We start from the raw sequence: 21,264 nt of genomic DNA, 5'->3' as shown, positions 1-21,264 counted from the left end.
GCGTGCCACTGCACTCCAGCCTAGGCAACAAAGTGAGACTGTCTCAAAAACAAAAGAAAATGAAACAAAAAAACATTTAAAAAGTGCCCATGGGTGATGTTAGCGCAAAGCCACATTTCAGACCCACTGCACCAAAAGATGATGACCCGGAGATTGAAATCATCATCTTAGAGCTCTGGGAGGGGAGGAGGGGCTGCTTCCAGGGTCCTACAAAGACTGGGAGAGAAACCCAGGGCACACGAGGCTGTCTACTCACCATCTTGGGAGCTGCCTACTGGTCCTCAGCCTCGGGGCGGACGATCAGAAACTGGCCTTGTGAACACACTGCACTGTCCTGACCTCTTGTGGAGCCTGGCAGAGGGTCCACAGGCTTCCCTGCGAAGATGTCGTGGGCCGTGTGGTGGTGCCAGCTCAGACAAGACTCCCGCCAGGCATAGGAGGCATCCAAAAAGCGGCGTGTCTGTTTAGAAAGAGAGAGTCCCGTCCACTCTACAGCCAATATACGCATCACATCTGACACTTTCATCCCTCTGTGGCCCCCACCGGGTCCAGCACCCATCATCACTCACGTGGGCCAGCACGGTCTTCTCTCTCCCGACTCTGCCCTTGACACTTGCTCACCCCACAGCTGCCCAGGGGATCTTTTTGTTTTTTGAGATGGAGTCTCGCTCTGTCACCAGGCTGGAGTGCAGTGGCGCGATCTCTGCTCACTGCAACCTCCACCTCCTGGGTTCAAGTGATTCTCCTGCCTCAGTCTCCCGAGTAGCTGGGACTACAAGCGTGCGCCACCACACCCAGCTAATTTTGTATTTTTAATAGAGACAGGGTTTCACCATGTTGCCCAGGATGGTCTTGATCTCTTTACCTCATGATCCACCCGCCCCAACCTCCCAAAGTGCTGGCATTACAGGTGTGAGCCACCATGCCCAGCTGGGATCTTTTAATATGAACAAACGTGTCACTCTCCTGCTTAAACCCCTCCCATGATTCATATGGTTTTTAGAATCAAGTCAAACCCCTTCCCACGGCCTGTGGGGCCCCTGCCTGCCTCTCCAAGCCTAACTCTTACCCCTCTATCTCTCGTTCACTCTGTTCCAGCCACACTGGCTTCCTGGCTGTCTTCAAAGGCCAAGTGCAGCTGGCCTGCACCTGCTGTTCCTCAGGTTTGCAAGCTCTTTGTTACAGGCTTTTTTTTTTTTTTTTTTTTTTTGAGACGGAGTCTCACTCTATCACCCAGGCTGGAGTGGGGTGGCATGATCTTGGCTCACTATCTCTGCCTCCTGGGTTTAAGTGATGTCATGCCTCAGTCTCCTGAGTAGCTGGGATTACAGGTACCCGCCACCAAGCCTGGCTAATTTTTTTGTATTTTTAGTAGAGACAGGGTTTCACTGTGTTGACCAGGCCAGTCTGGAACTCCTGGCCTGAGGTGATCCACACACCTAGGGCCTCCCAAAGTGCTGGGATCACAGGCACAAGCCACTGCACCCAGCCCCCTGTCACAGGTCTTGACCTACATATCATATCCATCAAAGACCTCATCCGGCCAGGTGCGGTGGCTCACACCTGTAATCCCAGCAGTTTGGGAGGCTGAAGCAGGTGGATCCCCTGAGGTCAGGAGTTCAAGACCAGCCTGGCCAACATGGTGAAACCCCATCTCTACTAAAAATACAAAAATTAGCCGAGTGTGATGGTGCATGCCTGTAATCCCAGCTACTCGGGAAACTGAGGCAGGAGAATGGCTCAAACCGGGAGGCGGAGGTTGCAGTAAGCCAAGATGGCGCCACTGCACCCCAGCCTAGGCTACAAAGTGAGACTCCGTCTCAAACAAACAAACAAAAAAAACCAATGAACTCATCTAACCATCCAATCCATAGTCACTTGTTTCCTGGAATTCTGATCATATCACCCTGTGTCGGTTTATGTCTCCCCCGGCAGGTCACACTGTGCCATATCCCTAACACCTAGGACAGTGCCAGGCCCAGATAAATGTCAACTGGGTAAACAACTGAGATAACTGAATGAGGCTCCATAAGGGTCACAGTCAGTGCAGGTGACACAGGTGGGAAATGCAGGGGCTCCTCAAACTAGGGGTGGTGAGACCCCCTCTCATGTTTGGAAGGGAGGCTTTTAGGTCATATAGAAGGAAGTTCTTCACGCCTGTAATCCCAGCACTTTGGGAGGCCGAGGCGGGTGGATCATGAGGTCAGGAGATCGAGACCATCCTGGCAAACACAGTGAAACCCCGTCTCTACTAAAAAATACAAAAAATTAGCTGGGCGTGGTGGCGGGTGCCTGTAGTCCCAGCTACTCGGGAGGCTGAGGCAGGAGAATGGCGTGAACCCGGGAGGCGGAGCTTGCAGTGAGCAAAGATTGCGCCACCACACTCCAGCCTGGGCGATAGAGCGAGACTCCATCTCAAAAAAAAAAAAAAAAAAGAAAGAAGTTCTAGTTTACACTAAAGAGAGACTCTGTGAAGCAGTGAAGGGTATTCTAGAACAGAGATTGGCAAAGTTTCTCTGTCAAGGGCCAGAAAATAAGTATTTCTAGCTTTTTAGGCCAGATTATCTCTGCCCCAACAACTCAACTCTGCTTTCATAGCTAGAAATCAGTCCCAAACAATATATAAATGAACGGGCGTAGCTGCATGCCAATATAAATTTTATTGATGGACACAGAAATTTGAATTTCACATAATCGTCATGTCACAAAGTATTATTCTTTTGATTTTTCCCCAACTACTAGAAAATTTAAAACCATTCTTGGGGGCCGGACTCGGTGGCTCACGCCTGTAATCCCAGCACTTTGGGAGGCTGAGGCAGGTGGATCACTTGAGGTCAGGAGTTCAAGACCGGCCTGGCCAACATGGTGAAACCCTGTCTCTACTAAAAATACAAAAATTGGCCAGGCCTGGTGGCGTACGCCTGTAATCCCAGCTACTGGAGAGGCTGAGGCAGGAGAATCGCTTGAATCTGGGAGGCGGAGGTTGCAGTGAACCGAGATCACGCCACTGCACTCCATCCAAGGTGACAAGAGTGAGATTCTGTCTCCAACAAAAAGAAAGAAAGAAGCTGATGGAAGAGCTTCTGATGGAGTGGGAGTGGTGTAGTGAGGTGGTGAGGCAGTGGTGCAAAGTCCCGGATATAAACTGTTCTACCCTCACCTTAGTCTTGTATCCTCCAACTATAAAGTGTGTCCTTTAGATTGGATTATTCCAAGGTCCCTTCCAACCTAAAAATACTTTTGCCAACAAAATAGCTAAGTGCCCCTTGAGGCGTTAGGGGACACGGCTCCCTGGGCTTGAATCCCAGCTCCACTCCTCATCAGCTGGGTGACCTTGGTCAGTGACTGCGCTTCCCTGGGCTTGTATTTCGTCACCGGTAAAGGGCGAATGACGACGACAAGACTGACTTTCTGGGGATGCTGTGAATCAACTAACCCACGGGAAGAGCCTGCAAAGAGCAAATACTCCGTTTACAGGAGCTCGAGGGTGTGTGTGTGTCTTAAGATGGTTTTGTTACCCCAGTAAATGGCAGACGGGGCTATCGGGTGGGCGTGTAGATATCTCCGGTCCTTGGTGCAAAAGTAATTACCGACCCTGTTTGTCCTGGGCTTACGGCTTGGGCTCGGAGCTCCACCCTGCTGCTTCCTATCTGCTTGACTTGGGGCAAATTGTTTTCTCTCTCTAAGCCTCATTTTCCTTATGTGTAAAAATGGCTGGTTAAGGCATTCAGGGCAGCGCCTGACGCCGAGTTAAACGTTTGGCAGTTTAGTCATTTCTGCTGCTCACGGTTTTACAAGAATCATTTTTATAAAATCTGGTGAGATAGGGACTTATTGGTCCCATTTTCCCGATGCAAAAACCCAGGACCCTTCAGGCATAATATGGATCCGGGCTAGGATGGGACCGGGTCCCGGGCACTTGGGTCAGAGGTCTCAGCTGGGGCCTCAGGGACTTTGGTCCTGGCTGGGACCTGGGCCGGCTCCGGGCATCTAAATCGGGTCCTCAGCTCCGCGTCCCCCGACGCGGAAGGGCGCGCCGGGCAGCTCCGAGGCCAGGGTGAGGCGGCTGCCGGACCCCCGGCCCTCCCCGCTCCTCCGCCCGCCGGCACTTACCTGCCCTCCTCCCGACGTCACGCCCTGACCGTGCCCGGAAGTGCGCGCTGAGAGCGCGGTGAACCTGGGCGCCCTCTCCGCGCCCCCAGGACGCCGGCGTGAGGCGGGGCGAGGCAGCAGCTCCACGCTGATTGGCTGAAGGACGATACGCCAAGCGTTCTGCGACGCCGGAGTGGGCCAATCCAGGAATGCCCCGCCCAACCGCGCTTACGCCAAGAGGCTCCATCCTCTGTCCAGCCCACTACGTGAGGCCCAATCCGAGGCCCGCCTCCTGGCACCGCCCTCCCAGGCGTGCTGTCCTGCGCGCTGCAGCCGGTCAGCGAGGGTGTGGTGGCGGGCCCCTGTAGTCCCAGCTACTTGGGAGGCTGAGGCAAAAGAATTGCTTGAACCCGGGAGGCAGAGGTTGCAAAGAGCCGAGATCGCGCCACTGCACTCCAGCCTGGGCAACAACAGCAAGACTCCGTCTCAAGAAAAATTATTTGCACAGGCAAGGTCTTACTATGTTGCCCCGGCTAGTCTCGAACTCCAGGGCCCAAGCAATCCTCCTGCCTCCCAAAGTGCTGGGATTACAGGCGTGAACCACTGCTCTGTTTTTGCATTTTTAAATAGTTAGGTGGGGGAAAAACTATTTTACGACTTATGAAAATAAAACATTCAAATTTCAGCGTACGTAAATAAAATTTCATTGGAACACAGGGATATGCGCTTTTGTCTGCTGATTGCTTCAAAATAAGGGCACTTGGGGGAACAGCAAATGCAGGGAAGGAGAGGTTTTCTCTGAATTTCTCTTATCTGCCTAAAGACAGAAAGAGGAATGCTTTCCTACGATCTTATTAACTAGGGAAGAGTGAAACCATTCCCAATCATGTATCCTTCTGAGGGCTGCTCTGAGACAACTTTTATTACCTGCAAGACTTTTTTATTTGCTTAACAAGACAGACTTTCTCCATCATACAATTTCTCCCCTTACCCTCCCATAACTTGTGTTACCACCATCCTCCCAGAAGCCCCAAACCCCTATTCTTTTCTTTGATACTTTTTTTTTTTTGAGAGGGAGTCTTGCTCTGTGGTCCAGGCTGGAGTTCAATGGCGTGATCTCAGCTCACTGCGCTCTCCACCTCCCAGGTTCAAGTGATTCTCTTGCCTCAGCCTCCCGAGTAGCTGGGATTACAGGCACCTTCCACCACGCCCGGCTATTTTTTGTATTTTTAGTAGAGATGGGGTTTCACCATGTTGGCCAGACTGGTCTGGAAGTCCCAACCTCAGGTGATCTGCCTGCCTTGGCCTTCCAAAGTGCCTGGATTACAGGCATGAGCCACTGGGCCCAGCCTCTCTGATCCTTTTTGGAGTCTTGTATTTTGTGGGACTCCCCTGCATAGGTACATAATTAAATATGGCTTTTGCCCTGTCTGTTTACATGTCAATTTAATTCGTAGCCCAGCCAAAGAACCTATAAAGGTGAAGGGAAGCCATTTTTCACCTACCTACAAACAGCCGGGCCCATTCATTTATCTATTGTCTATGTCTGCAACAGGGTTGAATTCAGTGGTTGCCACAGAGGAAGAGAGAGCCCAAAGAATCTAAAATATTTACCATCTGGCCTTTTACAGAAGAAGTGGGTGGATACTTCTCTTAGAGCCTTCAGATTAGCCTGGCCCTGCCTTCTGCACAGGTGAATGGCTTTTGAATTTACTTTTTTTTTTTTGAGTCGGAGTCTCACTGTCACTCAGGCTGGAGTGCAGTGGTGTGGTCTCAGCTCACTACACCCTCTGCCTCCCAGGTTCAAGTGAGTCTCCTGCTTCAGCCTCCCAGGTAGCTGGGACTACAGGTGCCCGCCACCATGCCTGGCTAATATTTGTATTTTTAGTAGAGATGGGGTTTCACCATGTTGGCCAGGCTGGTCTCAAACTCCTGACCTCAGATGATCTGCCCGCCTTGGCCTCCCAAAGTGCTGGGATTACAGGCATGAGCCACTGTGCCCAGACTGAATTTACTTTTATGCCTTGTAGGGCCTAACAGAATCTATTTGTTCATTCAACAGCTGAGCTGTTCATTGGACACCTGCTATATGTCTGGTCCTGGGGATTCAGAGAGGAAAGAACACACTCTTTTCTCAGTGATGAAGCAGACACTTCAACTGGCAATTTATCAAAGACAGGGTGAGAAGTGATGACAATATTACTACTATTCCTCCTGATATATATATATATCTATATATATATATATAGATATCTATAGATCTATAGATATCTATATATCTATATCTATCTATCTATCTATCTATCTATCTATCTATCTATCTATCTATGGAGTTTTGCTCTTGTTGCTCAGGCTGGAGAGCAAAGGCACAATCTTGGCTCACCGCAACCTCCACCTTCCTTCCGGGATCAAGCGATTCTCCTGCCTCAGCCCTGGGATTACAGGCATGCGCCACCACACCCAGCTAGTATTTTTAGTAGAGACGGGGTTTCTCCACGTTGGCCAGGCTGGTGTTGAATTCCTGACCTCAGGTGATCTGCCCACCTCGGCCTCCCAAAGTGCTGGGATTACAGGCATGAGCCACTGCGCCCGGCCTCCCCATGCTTTATTATTCGGTGCCAGGTTCCATCTCTGTTCTAAAGCCGGGCTCTACTAACAAATGAATTCTTACATAGTCATGGTGCTGCATACTGAGTGCTCACTACCCACTAGGCACCACTGAGCAATGCTTGGTGCTCACTCACACATGCATAATCTCATAGAATGCCCCTAGAAGGTAGATACTTTTCATCATTTCTGTTTTACAGATGGTGAGACAGGCCCAGAGAGGTTAAGTCGCACAGTTAGTGAGGGGTGGAGGAGCTGACCTACAACTGCTCATGCTAAACCTTGTTCCCTTGTCCTCTGAGCTATACTGTTTTGGGTTGTATGCATTTGACTTAAAAGACCATGAGACCCCAGAAAAATCTTTTTTTTTTTTTTTGAGACGGAGTCTCGCTCTGTTGCCTGGGCTGGAGTGCAGTGGCATGATCTCGGCTCACTGCAGGCTCCGCCTCCCGGGTTCACGCCATTCTCCTGCCTCAGCCTCCCGAGTAACTGGGACTACAGGCGCCCGCCACAACACCCGGCTAATTTTTTGTATTTTTAGTAGAAACGGGGTTTCACCATGTTAGCCAAGATGGTCTCCATCTCCTGACCTCGTGATCCGCCCGTCTCGGCCTCCCAAAGTGCTGGGATTACAGGCGTGAGCCACTGCGCCCGGCCTAACCCCAGAGAAATTTTTAAAGAGGGTAGGGTGTTTGAGAATGGGCTGGAGTGAGGGTCAGTAAGACCCTGAGACAGAGCAGGGATCCCCTTTTTTACGAGACCCCAAGCATGGAAACAAAGGAAATTTCTGAGTTCCTTCAAGGGAAATTCCAGGCCCCTAGCTAGCCTTGAGAAGTAAATAAGTAACTTGTTAAACAAAAAAGACATAATGATCCAAAACAAAAGCTAAGGAAGTTAGAGTCCCAGAGATGTTTGGTTTCCCTATAGAAATTAAAGATAACATCTTAACATATGTCCCTGAATTGTCTTTCAGAGTCTTGGAAACCCCAGATAAGGGGGAAGTGAAGACTAAACTTTATGTCCCTTTTGTTCCAAGTTTCCTCCTGAGGGGCTTGGAGAAAGTTACTTCCCCTAACCAGTTGACATGTTTCTACTGACTCAAAATTTTTAAACAAAGCTTCTCTTCCTTAATCCATTGCAAATCAGAAGATGTTTAAATCTTTTTCTTTTCTTTTTTTTTTTGAGACTAAGTCTCTGTTGCCCAAGCTGGAGTCCTGTGGCGTGATCTCGGCTCACTGCAACCTTCACCTCTCGGGTTCAAGTGATTCTCCTGCCTCAGCTTCCCAAGTAGCTGGGATTACAGGCACCTGCCACCATGCCCAGCTAATTTTTGTATCTATAGTAGAGACGAGGTTTCACTATGCTGGCCAGGCTGGCTTGAACTCCTGACTTCGTGATCCACCCGCCTCGGCCTCCCAAAGTGTTGGGATTACAGGCGTGAGCCACTGCGCCCAGCCTATTTTTTTCTTTTTCTTTTTTTTCCTGAGACTGAGTCTTGCCCAGGCTGGAGTGCAGTGGCGTGGTCTCGGCTCACTGCAACCTCAACCTCCCAGGTTCAAGCGATTCTCCTGCCTCAGCCTCCCGAGTAGCGAGGATCACAGGCATGTGCCACCGCATCCGGCTAATTTTTGTATTTTTAGTAGAGACAGGGCTTCGTCATGTTGGCCAGGCTGGTCTCGAACTCCTGACCTCAGGTAATCCTCCCATCTTGGCCTCCCAAAGTGTTGGGATTACAGGCGTGAGCCACTGCGCCCAGGCTTTCTATTTTTTTCTTTTTCTTTTTTTTTTCCTGAGACTGAGTCTTGCTGTCGCCCAGGCTGGAGTACAGTGGCATGATCTCGGCTCACTGCAACCTCAACTTCCCAGGTTCAAGCGATTCTCCTGCCTCAGCCTCCCGAGTAGCAAGGATCACAGGCATGTGCCACCACATCCGGCTAATGTTTGTATTTTTAGTAGAGACAGGGCTTCGTCATGTTGGCGAGGCTGGTCTCGAACTCCTGACCTCAGGTAATCCTCCCATCTTGGCCTCCCAAAGTATTAGGATTACAGGCGTGAGCCACCGTGCCCTGCCTAGATGTTTAAATCTATCTACGACCTGTAAGCCCCCACTTTAAGATATCCTGCCTTTTTAAGTGGAAACCAATGTGTAATCTCCATGCATTGATTTATGATTTTGCTTGTAGCTTCTGGTTTACTGAAATTTACACCTGCCTTAAAAAACCCCCACCTGCAAGCCATTGGTGATTTCAGGTCTTAAGCATGAGCTGCCCTGATTCTCCTTGCATGGTGCCCTGCAATAAACACCTTTCTTTCTATCACTGCAAAGACCTTAGTGTGGGTATCTGGTTTTACTGTGCTGGGTAAGCAGACCTCAGTTGGTTTCTGTAAGAACTCCTGTAAGGAGGGACCTCTGACCTGGATGAGGCAGAATGAGTCAGGTGGGGGGTGTGCTGTAGGGAGGCATGCTCGCTGATCCCCAGGAATGAGAGGGAACTGCATTTCACCCCAATAATCTCACTCAGTCCATCTGGATTTTGCTTGAGCCCTTGTCTTGTACCTGAACCAAGAGTTAGTGACTGAAAAGGCACAGAATGTCATCTTGGGAGCAGGACTTCCTAGAGAGGGGAGAATGAGAAGCCTTGGCTTGTAGAGTCTCACTGTTACTACTTAATGCACAGGGCAAGTGATGGAGCCTGAACATCAGCCTGGGATACAAAGAGGCTGTTCTATAAAGATACCAAATGCAGGCCAGTTCTGGTGGGGCCAAAGGAATTGATACAGGGAAAGGAAGGCATAGGGCAAAGGGAAAACTTCCCTTTCACGTTCTGAAGTTTCACTGAAATGAGCTGACAATAGACAGATTAACAAAAGAAAGGGCACAGACATTTATGCGTAAGCATGGGAGCCATATAAAATGTGAGACTTGTAATGCCAGCTACTTGGGAGGCTGAGGCAGGAGAATCGCTTGAACCCGGGAGGCGGAGGTTGCAGTGAGCCGAGATTGCGCCACTGCACTCCAGCGCTGGCGACAGTGAGACTCCGTCTCAAAAAAAAAAAAAAAAAAAAAAAAAAAAGTGGGACTCAAAGAAGGACCAGATGGTTGTGAGTTAAATACTGTCTTCCTAGGGGAGAGAGAAATGGGGAATGTAGGCAGTTTTGAGGGGAAATGAATGATGTTCAGGGGAACTGATGAAGCCCAATGAACAGACAGTGGCCTGGGACAAAGTTCCTCTGAGCTCTTGGGGAGGCGACAGAAAGGTGAGGGCAGAACTTCATTGTGAACAAAGGCCGTCTTATTATGTAGATAAAGTCTCCCATGTAATCTCTCCAAGCTGCACAGAGAGGAGTAGATGAAGTCTGTTTGGACATGATGCCAATTTTTAGTCTTTTCTCTTTGCCAGTGGTTAATATTTCCTGGATATTTGATGAGATTCTTAGGGAGGAGTCATCTTAAGACAACTGCATTTCTTTTGGAAGAAGTTTTCATCAGTCAAATAAGGGAACTTCCAAAGAGAGCCCCTCCCTGTGCTTGGGAGATGGGGAGAAACAAGAGAAAGTTAGGAAGTCCTTGGTTCTGAGGCAGCTTATAAGGCCCTCCAATAGCTTCTTTTGTTTTGTTTTGTTTTGTTTGGTTTGGTTTGAGACAGGGTCTCCACTGTCACCCAGGCTGAAGTGCAGTGGTGCAATCACTGCAGCCTTGAACTCCCAGGTTCAAGCCGTCCTCACACCTCAGCTTTTTGAGTAGTTGGGACCACAGGCACCATGCCTAGCTAATTTTTTTTTTTTTTTTTAATTTGTAGAAACGAGGTCTTCCTGTGTTGCCCAGGCTACTCTTGGGCTCCTGTGCTCAAGTCATCCTCCCACCACTCCAGCCTGGGCATCAAAGAAAGACCCCATCTCTTAAAAAAAAATTTCTGGCCAGGCATGGTGGCTCACACCTGTAATCCCAGCACTTCGGGAGGCTGAGGTGGGCCGATCATGAGGTCAGGGGTTTGAGATCAGCCTGACCAACACGGTGAAACCCCATCTCTACTAAAAATACAAAAATTAGCCAGGCATGGTGGCGTGCACCTGTAATCCCAGCTACTCAGGAGGCTGAGGCAGGAGAATCACTTGAACCCAGGAGGCAGAGGTTGCAGTGAGCTGAGATCACGCCATTGCACTGCAGCTTGGGCAACAAGAGCGAAACTCCGTCTCAAAAAAAAAAAAAAAAAAAAGAAATCTATAAAAGCCAAAGGCCTCCAGCCAGCACAAAGAAAGAAACAGACATCTGGAAAGACTAATTAAAGCCTACCTGGTTTTGACAATATATTACTTATCTCTGGTTGCGTAACAAATTACCCCAAAGTATAGAGGCCTAAAACATTTATTATCTCACTGTTTCTTTGGGTCAGGAATCTGGGTGTGGCTTAGCTGAACCCTATGCGCAGGGCTGCAATTGAGGGTTGGATGTGCTCATATGAAGAGGGTAGGGCTGGGCAGACATCCCAAATGGCTTTGATCACAGCCACAAACCAAATATAAAAATGTCTAAGGCCGGGCACGGTGGCTCACGCCTGTAATCCCAGCACTTTGGGAGCCCAAGGGAGGCAGATCGCGAGGTCAGGAGTTCAAGACCAGCCTGACCAATATGGTGAAACCCCATCTCCACTAAAAATACAAAGATTAGCCGGGCGTGGTGGCGCACGCATGTAATCCCAGCTATTCGGGAGGCTGAGGCAGGAGAATTGCTTGAACTCGGAGGCAGAGGTTGCAGTGAGCCAAGATTGCGCCACTACACTCTAGCCTGGGTGACAGAGCGAGACTCCATCACATAAAAAACAAACAAACAAACAAAAAAACAAAAAACGTCTAACTGGCTGGGCATGGTGGTTCATGCCTGTAACCCCAGTGCTTTGAGAGGCAAAAGCGGGAGGATCACTTGAGGCCAGGAGGTCAAGACCAGCCTCGGCAACATGGTGAGACCCCTGTCTCTACAAAAAACAAAAAATTAGCCAGGCATAGTGGCACGTGCCTGTAGTCCAAGCTACTCAAGAGGCTGAGGTGGAAAGATTGCTTGAGCTTAGAAGGTGGAGGCTGCAGTGAGCCATGATCTCATCACTGTACTCGGCCTGGGTGACAGAGCAAGATTCTGTCTCAAACAAAAATAAATTAAAATTTCTAACTTATGTTAGTTTGCTGAGAGTGATGGCTTCCAGTTTCATGCATGTCCCTGCAAAGGACATGAACTCAATTTTTTATGGCTGCATGGTAGTCCATGGTATATATGTGCCACATTTTCTTAATCCAGTGATAGCATTGGTGGGCATTTGGGTTGGTTCCAAGTCTTTGCTATTGTAAATAGTAATGCAGTAAACATACAGAAACCAAACACCGCATGTTCTCACTCATAAGTGGGAGTTGAACAATGAGAACGCGTGGACACAGGGAGGGGAACATCACACACTGGGGCCTGTCAGGGAATGGGGGCCAAGGGGAGGAAGAGCATTAGGACAAATACGTAATGCATGTGGGGCTTAAAACCTAGATGATGGATTGATAGGTGCAGCAAACCACCACAGCACATATATAGCTGTGTAACAAACCTGCACGTTCTGCACATGTATCCCAGAACTTAAAAAAAAAATTCTAACTTATTTGACCTGCTTTCTGAGCTCTAATTGGTGACTGGAAGGATAAAGAAGCCAGGACTAGACTCAAACTTTGGGTTCCTAGAGAGGAGAAGGAGCTGGAGGCCTGGTATGTGGGAAGAGGGGTTGGATCTCTGTGGCCCACAAAGGCAGGAATAAGGCCAGTGGTGCCAGTATCAGGGAGGTGGGTTCCAACCACAACCACACATTTTAACAAACCGAGGGAGTGTTTGCCATAGCTAGAGCTTCCAAATCCATAGAGTAGAGTTGAAGGAATAAAGAATTAGAGTTTCCAGCTAATGTGAATGTATACAGCTCTCTTAGAGGTCAAATATCAAAACATATTAAAGAATGCACTAGTAAGACAATGAACTTAGGCAACACAAGGAGACCCTGTCTCTATAAAAAAGTTAAAATGAAAATATGTCAGCTGGGTGTGGTGGCATGTACCTGTAGTCCCAGCTACTCGGGAGGCTGAGGCAGGAGGATTGCTTGAGCCCAGGTGTTTGAGGCTGCAGTGAGCTGTGATCGCACCATGGTACTTCAGTATGGGTGACAGAGAGACCCTGTCTCTTAAAAAGGTTAAAGACAATGGAGGGCTATATGTATTTGAGTGCAACTGATTTATATAAATAACCATAAATCCATTTGTTTGTTTGTTTATTTATTTATTTAGAGATGGAGTCTTGCTCTGTCACCTAGGCTGGAGTGCAGTGGTGCAATCTCGGCTCACTGCCACCTCTGTCTCCCGGGTTCAACCAATTCTCCTGTCTCAGCCTCCCAAGTAGCTGGGATTACAGGTGCCCACCACCATGCACAGCTAATTTTTTTTTTTTTTTTTTTTTTGAGACAGAGTCTTGCTCTGTCATCCAGGCTGGAGTGCAGTAGTGGCTCGATCTCGGCTCACTGCAAGCTCCGCCTCCCGGGTTCACACCATTCTCCTGCCTCAGCCTCCCGAGTAGCTGGGACTATAGGCACCCACCACCATGCCCGGCTAATTTTTGTATTTTTAGTAGAGACGGGGTTTCACCGTGTTAGCCAGGATAGTCTCGATCTCCTGACCTCGTGATCTGCCCGCCTCGGCCTCCCAAAGTGCTGGGATTACAGGCGTGAGCCACCACGCCCGGCTTTTTTGTATTTTTAATAGAGACGGGGTTTCACCGTGTTGGCCAGGCTGGTTTTGAACTCCTGATCTCAAGTGATCCGCCCGCCTTGGCCTTCTAAAGTGCTAGGATTACAGGTGTGAGCCACTGTACCCAGCCTTATTTTGTTTTTATCTGGCAAAGGAACTCAACACAAGAAACTTCTGTTAGGTAAGCAGTCAGTCAAAAGAGTTTTAAACACATGTGAAGAAATGGATACCAAGAATCAGAAGAAAATCAATCCATAACAGTGACAATCTATGATGACAATGATGTAAGAGCTGTGATGATGCCATAATGATGGATGATGTCATTCCACCTGACTTTTCATCCCCTTTTCCACTTCTTCTGCTCATCCACTGAAATTTCCCTGGGGCCCAAGGCCACGATGAAGAGGAAACTTCCCAGAACAGACATGGCATGGAAAAGTCATGCTTCACTAATTAGTGGAAAGCTAGGTTTTGAGGGACAGTCCAAAAGACACCCTGAGCTTTTTCAGTTGAGGAGAAACATTTGAATCACAAGAATCACTGTGTCCAGCTTGGTCTAGAACCCAATGGCTACTGGGATACTCAACACCAAGGGGCAGATGGCCTGTTTCGAAGCAGGGAAGGCCAGAAGAGTGATCATTCTGATAGATTCATCCATACAAAGAGCTAGCAGCACTTTGTTGGCATTCCTGAAGCTTATTTACCTTTGGAAAACTGTCTCATTTATATTATTTCCCAAGGGCATGGAGTATGGTCTAGAACTGTCCAATAGGAGACTAACCAGCTACATCTGGCTAACTTAAATTTATTTATTTATTTTTTGAGATGGAGTCTTGCTCTGTCGCTCAGGCTGGAGTGCAGTGGCATGATCTCAGCTCACTGCAACCTCCACCTCCCAGGTTCCAGCGATTCCCCTGCCTCAGCCTCCTGAGTAGCTGGGATTACAGGCGCTCGCCGCCATGCCTGGCTAATTTTTGTATTTTTAGTAGAGACGGGATTTTGCCATGTTGGTCAGGCTGGTCTTGAACTCCTGACCTCGTGATCCACCTGCCTCGGCCTCCCAAGGTGCTGGGATTACAGGTGTGAGCCACCGCGCCCAGCCCTACCTGCTTTTCTATGTACTCTGCAGTTGTTGGATTAGGACAAAGGGCCAGAAGATTCTATGAACTACCCAGGAAGAGCAGGAACTTGAAGAATTGGGATCCTGCTCCTAGAAAATGGTCTGACCAGTATCATCCAAACTGAAGACACTAGAACAAAAGCTGAAGAGAGCAAAGAAGTGGCCAGGCACAGTGGATCATGCCTGTAATCCCAGCATTTTTGGGAGGCTGCAGTGGGAGGATCCCTTGAGCCCAGGGGTTCAAGACCAGCCTGTGAAACATAGTGAGATGCTCTACAAAAAAAGTTTAAAAACTAGGCTGGGTGTTGTCATGTGCTTATAGTCACAGATAGCGTGGAGACTGAGGCAGGAAGATCACTTGAGCCCTGGAGTTTGAGGCTGCAGTGAGCTATGACTGTGCCACTGCACTCCAGCATGGGTGACAGAGCGAGACCCTCTTTTTTCTTTTTTTTTTTTTTTTGAGAATGAGTCTTGCTGTGTTGCTCAGGCTGGAGCACAGTGGCACGATCTCAGCTCACCGCAACCTCCGCCTCCTGGGTTCAAGCCATTCTCCTGCCTCAGCCTCCCGAGTAGCTAGGATCACAGCTTCCCACCACCTGGCTAATTTTTGTATTTTTAGTAGACACGGGATTTCGCCATGTTGGCCAGGCTGGTCTCGAACTCCTGACCTCAGGTGATCCACCTGCCTCGGCTTCCCAAAGTGCTGGGACGACAGGCGTGAGCTACCGCACCTGGCCGAGACCCTGTCTCTTAAAAAAATGGAAAACAAAACGGCAAAGACTGCCTATTTTGTTTATCACTGCATCTCCAACATTTAGAGCTACGTAGTAGCACTCAGTAAATACACTGAATGAATGAATCAATAAATGAATGAGGGAGTCTTTGGGTAAGTACTTAGAGTATTTGGGTAAGTACAAAATAAAATTAGGCTGGGCACGGTGGCTTATGCCTATAATCCCAGCACTTTGGGAGGCCGAGGCAGGTGGATCATTTGAGGTCCAGAGTTCAAGACCAGCCTGGCCAACATGGAGAAAAACTGTCTCTACTAAAAAATACAAAAATTAGCCGGGCTTAGTGGCAGGTGCCTGTAATCCCAGCTACTTGGGAGGTTGAGGCAGGAGAATCACTTGAACCCAGGAGATGGAGGCTGCAGTGAGCCGAGATTGTGCCACTGCACTCCAGCCTGAGCGACAGAGTCAAACTCCGTCACAAAAAAAAAAAAAAAAAAAAAAGAAAGAAAGAAAAGCAGGTGGATGCTCTAGAGAATTAATTAAAGGGAGGAGCTATGGCTCTTTGTATACATATTAGCCAGGTCAGAAGAACTAATGATATTGGTATATCCTATAATTTACTTGGATATTCCTATATTCCAGACTTGGGATACTCCTAAAATACACACCACATCGTGGAGCAAGAGGCCATTTTTTTTTTTTTTGAGACGGAGTCTCCCTCTGTCACCCAGGCTGGAGTGTAGTGGCGCGATCTCGGCTCACTGCAAGCTCTGCCTCCCAGGTTCATGCCATTCTCCTGCCTCAGCCTCCCGAGTAGCTGGGACTACAGGTGCCCCCCACCACGCCCGGCTAATTTTCTGTATTTTTAGTAGAGATGGGGTTTCACCGTGTTAGCCAGGATGGCCTCGATCTCCTGACCTCGTGATCCGCCCGCCTTGGCTTCCCAAAGTGCTGGGATTACAGGCGTGAGCCACCGCACCCGGCCGCAAGAGGCCAGTTTTAAATTTTATTTTTCCTCAGGCAAACCCCAGGGTGTCTTGTGCTTAAACACCATAATTTCCCACAAAGGAGCCCCTGCCACTGCTGTGTTAACCACCACCGTAATTTACCCATTAGCATCAGGAATAATAATGAGTTTGTCTGAGTGGTAACAACAGCTTGGAAGAGCTGACTCCAAAAGATGTGTTTAGGGGACTGGGCTGGGGGCTGGAGAAAAAAAAAAAAAACACAGACACTGGGGTGGCTGGGCGGCTTCAATAACTTCTGGTGGGGGACGGGGAGGGAGCATCCTGTCAGAATCTGGGTGTTTGTAAGTCCTTAGAAATCACCTCAACATCCTCATTTGACAGAGGGGAAAACAAGTCCAGGGAAAAGTTAAGTGATAATGTCACAGAGCTTGTAATGGTAGAACTGGCAACAGACTCAAGTCTCCTGATTTCTTGAGACAGAGTCTCGCTCTGTCTTCCAGGCTGGAGTGCGGTGGCGCAATCTCGGCTCACTGCAACCTCTGCCTCCCAGGTTCAAGCGATTCTCCTGCCTCAGCTGGGAGCAGCTGAGACTACAGGTGCCCACCACCATGCCCGACTAATTTTTTGTATTTTTAGTAGAGATGGGGTTTCACCATGTTGGCCAGGCTGGTCTTGAACTCCTGACCTCAGGTGATCCACCCGCCTAGGCTTCCCAAAGTGCTGGATTACAGGCATGAGCCGCTGTGCCCTGCTAAGATCTCCTGATCCTTGGCCAGGGCTAGTTCCACTCAGTTGAACTGTTGATTACAATCATCCATTGTGTTTCATATAATCCAACTGGGTCAACCAGTTTCCAGAAAATCTGGCTATTTTAAGAATCTTAGCCAGGTGCAGAAGCTTGTGCCCATCCCAGCACTTTGGGAGGCTGAGGTGGGAGGATCACTTGAGCCCCAGGGAGTTTGAGACCAGCCTGGGCAACAAAGTGAGGCCTCACTTCTACAAAACAGAACCAAAACTAAAACCAAAAACCAATTAGCTGTGCATGGTGGAGCACACCTGTAATCCCAGCTACCTGGGAGGCTGAGGTGAGAGGACCCTTTGAGCCCAGGAGGTTGAGGCTGCAGTGAGCTATGTTTGCAGCACTGCACTCCAGGCTGGGTGGTAGAGTGAGAACCTGTCTTAAAACAAACAAAAAAAGGGCCGGGCGCGGTGGCTCACGCCTGTAATCCCAGCACTTCGGGAGGCCGAGGCGGGCGGATCACTTGAGGCCAGGAGTTCAAGACCAGCCTGGCCAACATGGTGAAACTCTGTCTCTACTAAAAATACAAAAATAGCCAGACGTGGTGGTGTGTCCCTGTAATCCCAGCTACTTGGGAGGGTGAGGCAGGAGAATCACTTGAACCCGGTGGCAGAGGTTGCAGTGAGTGAAGATCGTGCCATTGCACTCCAGTCTGGGTGACAGAACGAGACTCCATCTCAAAAAAAAAAAAACAATCTCTACAGTGAGAGAATTAATATAGTGTATACTTTCTGGTAGAGGACAATGGTTAAAGAATTCAAGACCAGGCGTGCTGGCTCACGCCTGTAATCTCAACAATTTGGGAAACTGAGGTGAGAGGGTCTCTTGAGGCCAAGAGTTTGAGACTAGCCTGGGCAACATAGTGAGACCCTGTCTCTACAAAAGATACAAAAATTAGCCAAGCAGGGTGGTGCATGCCTATAGTCCCAGCTACTAGGGAGGCTGAAGTGGGAGGATCCCTTGAGCTCAGGAGTTGGAGGCTACAGTGAGTCATGATTGCACCACTGTACTCCAGCCTGGGGGACAGAGTGAGATCCTGCCTCTCAAAATAAAATGAAACAAAAACAATAAAATAAAATAAAGAATTCAAATCTATTTAGTGAAAACTAACAGATTTCTCTCTTTTAATTCTTGGCTCATGGCCAGTGTTTCTCAATAGGAGCCATCTTCACCCCTTCAGGGGCAATGTCTGCAGACATTTTTGGTTGTGACAAATTGGGTTGGGAGGGAGTGTTCATGGCGTCTAATGTTCGTTTTTTGTTTTTTTGAGATGGAGTTTCACTCTCGTTGCCCAGGTTGGAGTGCAATGGCATGATCTCGGCTCACTACAACCTCCACCTTCTGGGTTCATGCGATTCTCCTGCTTCAGCCTCCCGAGTAGCTGGGATTAGAGGCATGTGCCACCACGCCCAGCTAATTTTGTATTTTTAGTAGAGACAGGGTTTCTCCATGTTGGTCAGACTGGTCTTGAACTCCTGACCTCAGGTGATCTACCCACCTCGGCCTCCCAAAGTGCTGGGATTACAGGCGTCAGCCACCGTGCCTGGCTATGGCGTCTAATGAGCAGAGGCTGGATATGCTGCTCAACTTCTCACAGTGCACAGGACAGCCTTTGCACTACAAAGAATGATCCGGCCCCGAATGCCAGTAGTGCCAAGGTTAACAAACTCAGAAATCAAAATAGCTCAGTTTGAACAGGAAGTTGGTGGGCCGTTTGACTAAGATGGAGATGCCAGGTGGGCTTAAGAATTTTCCAGCAAGGCCGGGCGTGGTGGCTCATGCCTGTAATCCCAGCACTTTGGGAGGCCGAGACAGGTGGATCACGAGGTCAGGAGATCGAGACTATCCTGGCTAACACCATGAAACCCCGTCTCTACTAAATATACAAAAAATTAGCCGGGTGAGGTGGCGGGCACCTGTAGTCCCAGCTACTCGGGAGGCTGAGGCAGGAGAATGGCGTGAACCTGGGAGGCAGAGCTTGCAGTGAGCCGAGATCGCGCCACTGCACTCCAGCCTGGGTGACAGAGCAAGACCCCGTCTCAAAAAAAAAAAAAAAATTTCAAAAGGTATGCATTTTTTATGCCGGGTGCAGTTGCTCATGCCTGTAATCCCAGCACTTTGGGAGGAAGAGGCAGGTGGATCACTTGAGGTCAGGAGTTTGAGACCAGTCTGGCCAACACGGTGAAACCCGGTCTCTACTAAAAATACAGAAATTAGCTGAGTGTGGTGGTGCATGCCTGTAGTCCCAGCTACTGGGAGGCTAAGGCAGGAGAGCTGCTTGGACCGGGAAGGCAGAGGTTGCAGTGAGCCGAGATCGTGCCACTGTACTCCAGCCTGGGCAACAGAGTGAGACTCTGTCGCAAAAAAAAAAAAAAAAAGAAAGAAAGTATGCACTTTTTTTTTTTTTTTAAGGAAACAAGGATCTCACTATGTTGCCCAGGAGGGATTGGCACTCCTGGGCTAAAGCGATCCTCCTGCCTCAGCCTTCCAAGTAGCTGAGACTACAGACTTGGGCCACCAGGCCTGTCAAGGTTAGCATCTTTGAGCTCCTAAGTCCAACACTATCGCCATCACTTTTATGGTCCGGATGGCGTTTGGGGCATTTTGGGCATTTTATTTCTTGCCTTCATTCCTTCTCCCCACCCTTAATATTTAAATATTATCCTACTCCCTCTGCTGAGATAGGTACAAGGCTCATCTCACCTCTGGATTCTCCAGTGAGGGTTACTCCAGGGTGGGCCTCTTCCCCTTCACGTCCTGCCAGGCAATCCCCTTGGGGCGAGTCATAACTTTTCTGGACCTCAGTTTCCTTCCCTGTAAAATAAGAACAATAATAATACTTCCTCGGGCTGTTGTCGGGGACTCTTCAGCCCACCACTCCCACCCCGAAGTCCTACCCAGCGCTCACCACAAAGCCTACCCTCTTCTGAGCTCTCTGAATCCTCAAAGCCTCCTCTGAGATAGAGGCTGTGAACGCCTTTCCTACAAATGGGGAAACTGAGGCTGGGAGACCCGAGAACTGGACCATGATCTCAAACCTTTGAGGGAGGGAGCTACCCTGGAAGGCGATGGTCTTCTCCAGAGCCCTCCCAAGGGCGCTCAGTACCACGTGGGCACCCAGAGAAGTTTTCTTATCCCTCTTGGCCCCCTCGGATCCTAACTCCCAGCTCGGCGAGGACCCTGGAAGCGGGTTCAGCCTTCGCTGGTTGAAGCCAGCTCCGAGGCGCATGCGCAAGTGAGCGCGCGCGGTGGCCTGTGGGAGGCTGGCTGCGAGTCCGAAGCTCAGCCCAGACGCCGGCGCTGTTGTCAGGGCGACCGGGGTGGGGCGGGGCCAGAACGTGGCCAAGCCTTTACTCGCTCTTCAATGGTCCCTTGTTTTCACGGGGCCAACCTTCTCTTAATTGTTCTTTGTTGTTAGTTCGTTCCCTTCCTCGATGGACAGAAGCTGACTTGTAGCGTGTGTCTACCAAAGGACAGGCAGAAGCAGGAGGATCTCGGCCATGATTAAGCGCCGGTGGAGACCCCTGACTCAATTCGGTTCATATACACGAGTCAATTTTTTTTTTTCTTTCCTCTTTTGCCTTTGAGTAATCTGTAATTTATTAGCGACATCTATAATTTATCTCACTTCTCCGGCCAGATCTTGCTTAGGCAAAACCGCAAACCTGAAGTTTGCAGAAATGACTCAGTGGTGACTAATTCCATTAGGAAAGCATTCTTCACAAAAGAGTTCACAGCAGGATTTCTTTAAATAGAAAACTTCCTCAGTGCACTGAAAACGATTCATTTTATATAAAACACATTTGGATACCGGATCCTCTTTTCTCTTCACTTTTTTTTTTGAGACTGAATCTTGCTCTGTCGCCTAGGCTGGAGTGCAGTGGTGCGATCTCGGCTCACTGCAACCTCTGCCTCCCGGGTTCAAGCAATTCTCCTGCTTCAGCCTCCCGAGTAGCTGGGACTTCAAGGGCCCGCCACCATGCCCGGCTAATTTTTGTACTTTTAGTAGAGACGGGGTTTCACCATATTGGCCAGGCTGTTCTGGGACTCCTGATCTTGTGATCTGCCCACCTCGGCTTCCCAAAGTGCTGGGATTACAGGCGTGAACCACCGCGTCCGGCCTATTGTTTTTGTAGTTGCATACAGACATAGTCAGGGCCACTGTGTACGATTGTGCAGGTTGTG

At 49.1% G+C, this 21,264-nt stretch overlaps 1 protein-coding gene across 11 annotated transcripts in view, besides 2 other annotated features; it reads right to left on the bottom strand.

Moving 5' to 3' along the window:
* YJU2B (YJU2 splicing factor homolog B) overlaps positions 1-20,316 on the bottom strand; it is a 31,538-nt gene extending 11,222 nt beyond the window's left edge. For 4 of the 11 annotated variants that reach the window (NM_001320568.2, NM_030818.4, XM_047439475.1 and 1 more), the window contains exons 1-2: positions 4,114-4,173; positions 257-460 (exon numbers count right to left, since the gene is read on the bottom strand). Coding sequence is in view for 7 of the 11 variants with exons in the window: in NM_030818.4 (NP_110445.1) it covers positions 257-259 (3 nt within the window). In the remaining 4 variants the exon portion in view is untranslated. Of the gene's footprint in view, positions 1-256; positions 461-4,113; positions 4,174-19,782; positions 19,894-19,987 lie in introns of those variants that run through there. The other 7 variants (NM_001320566.2, NM_001320564.2, NM_001320567.2 and 4 more) reach the window with 5 other exon arrangements.
* Positions 3,883-4,192: a silencer, noted in NCBI's record as "silent region_10207". NCBI's record gives its function as "represses an Ori minimal core promoter by ATAC-STARR-seq in GM12878 lymphoblastoid cells {active_cell/tissue: GM12878}" and the evidence as "EXISTENCE:reporter gene assay evidence [ECO:0000049][PMID:35858748]".
* Positions 20,204-20,253: an enhancer, noted in NCBI's record as "active region_14133". NCBI's record gives its function as "activates an Ori minimal core promoter by ATAC-STARR-seq in GM12878 lymphoblastoid cells {active_cell/tissue: GM12878}" and the evidence as "EXISTENCE:reporter gene assay evidence [ECO:0000049][PMID:35858748]".

Source organism: Homo sapiens, chromosome 19 (assembly GCF_000001405.40).
Source record: "Homo sapiens chromosome 19, GRCh38.p14 Primary Assembly".
In the NCBI taxonomy this organism is placed as follows: domain Eukaryota; kingdom Metazoa; phylum Chordata; class Mammalia; order Primates; family Hominidae; genus Homo; species Homo sapiens.
This window is presented reverse-complemented; position numbering and strand designations above follow the sequence as displayed.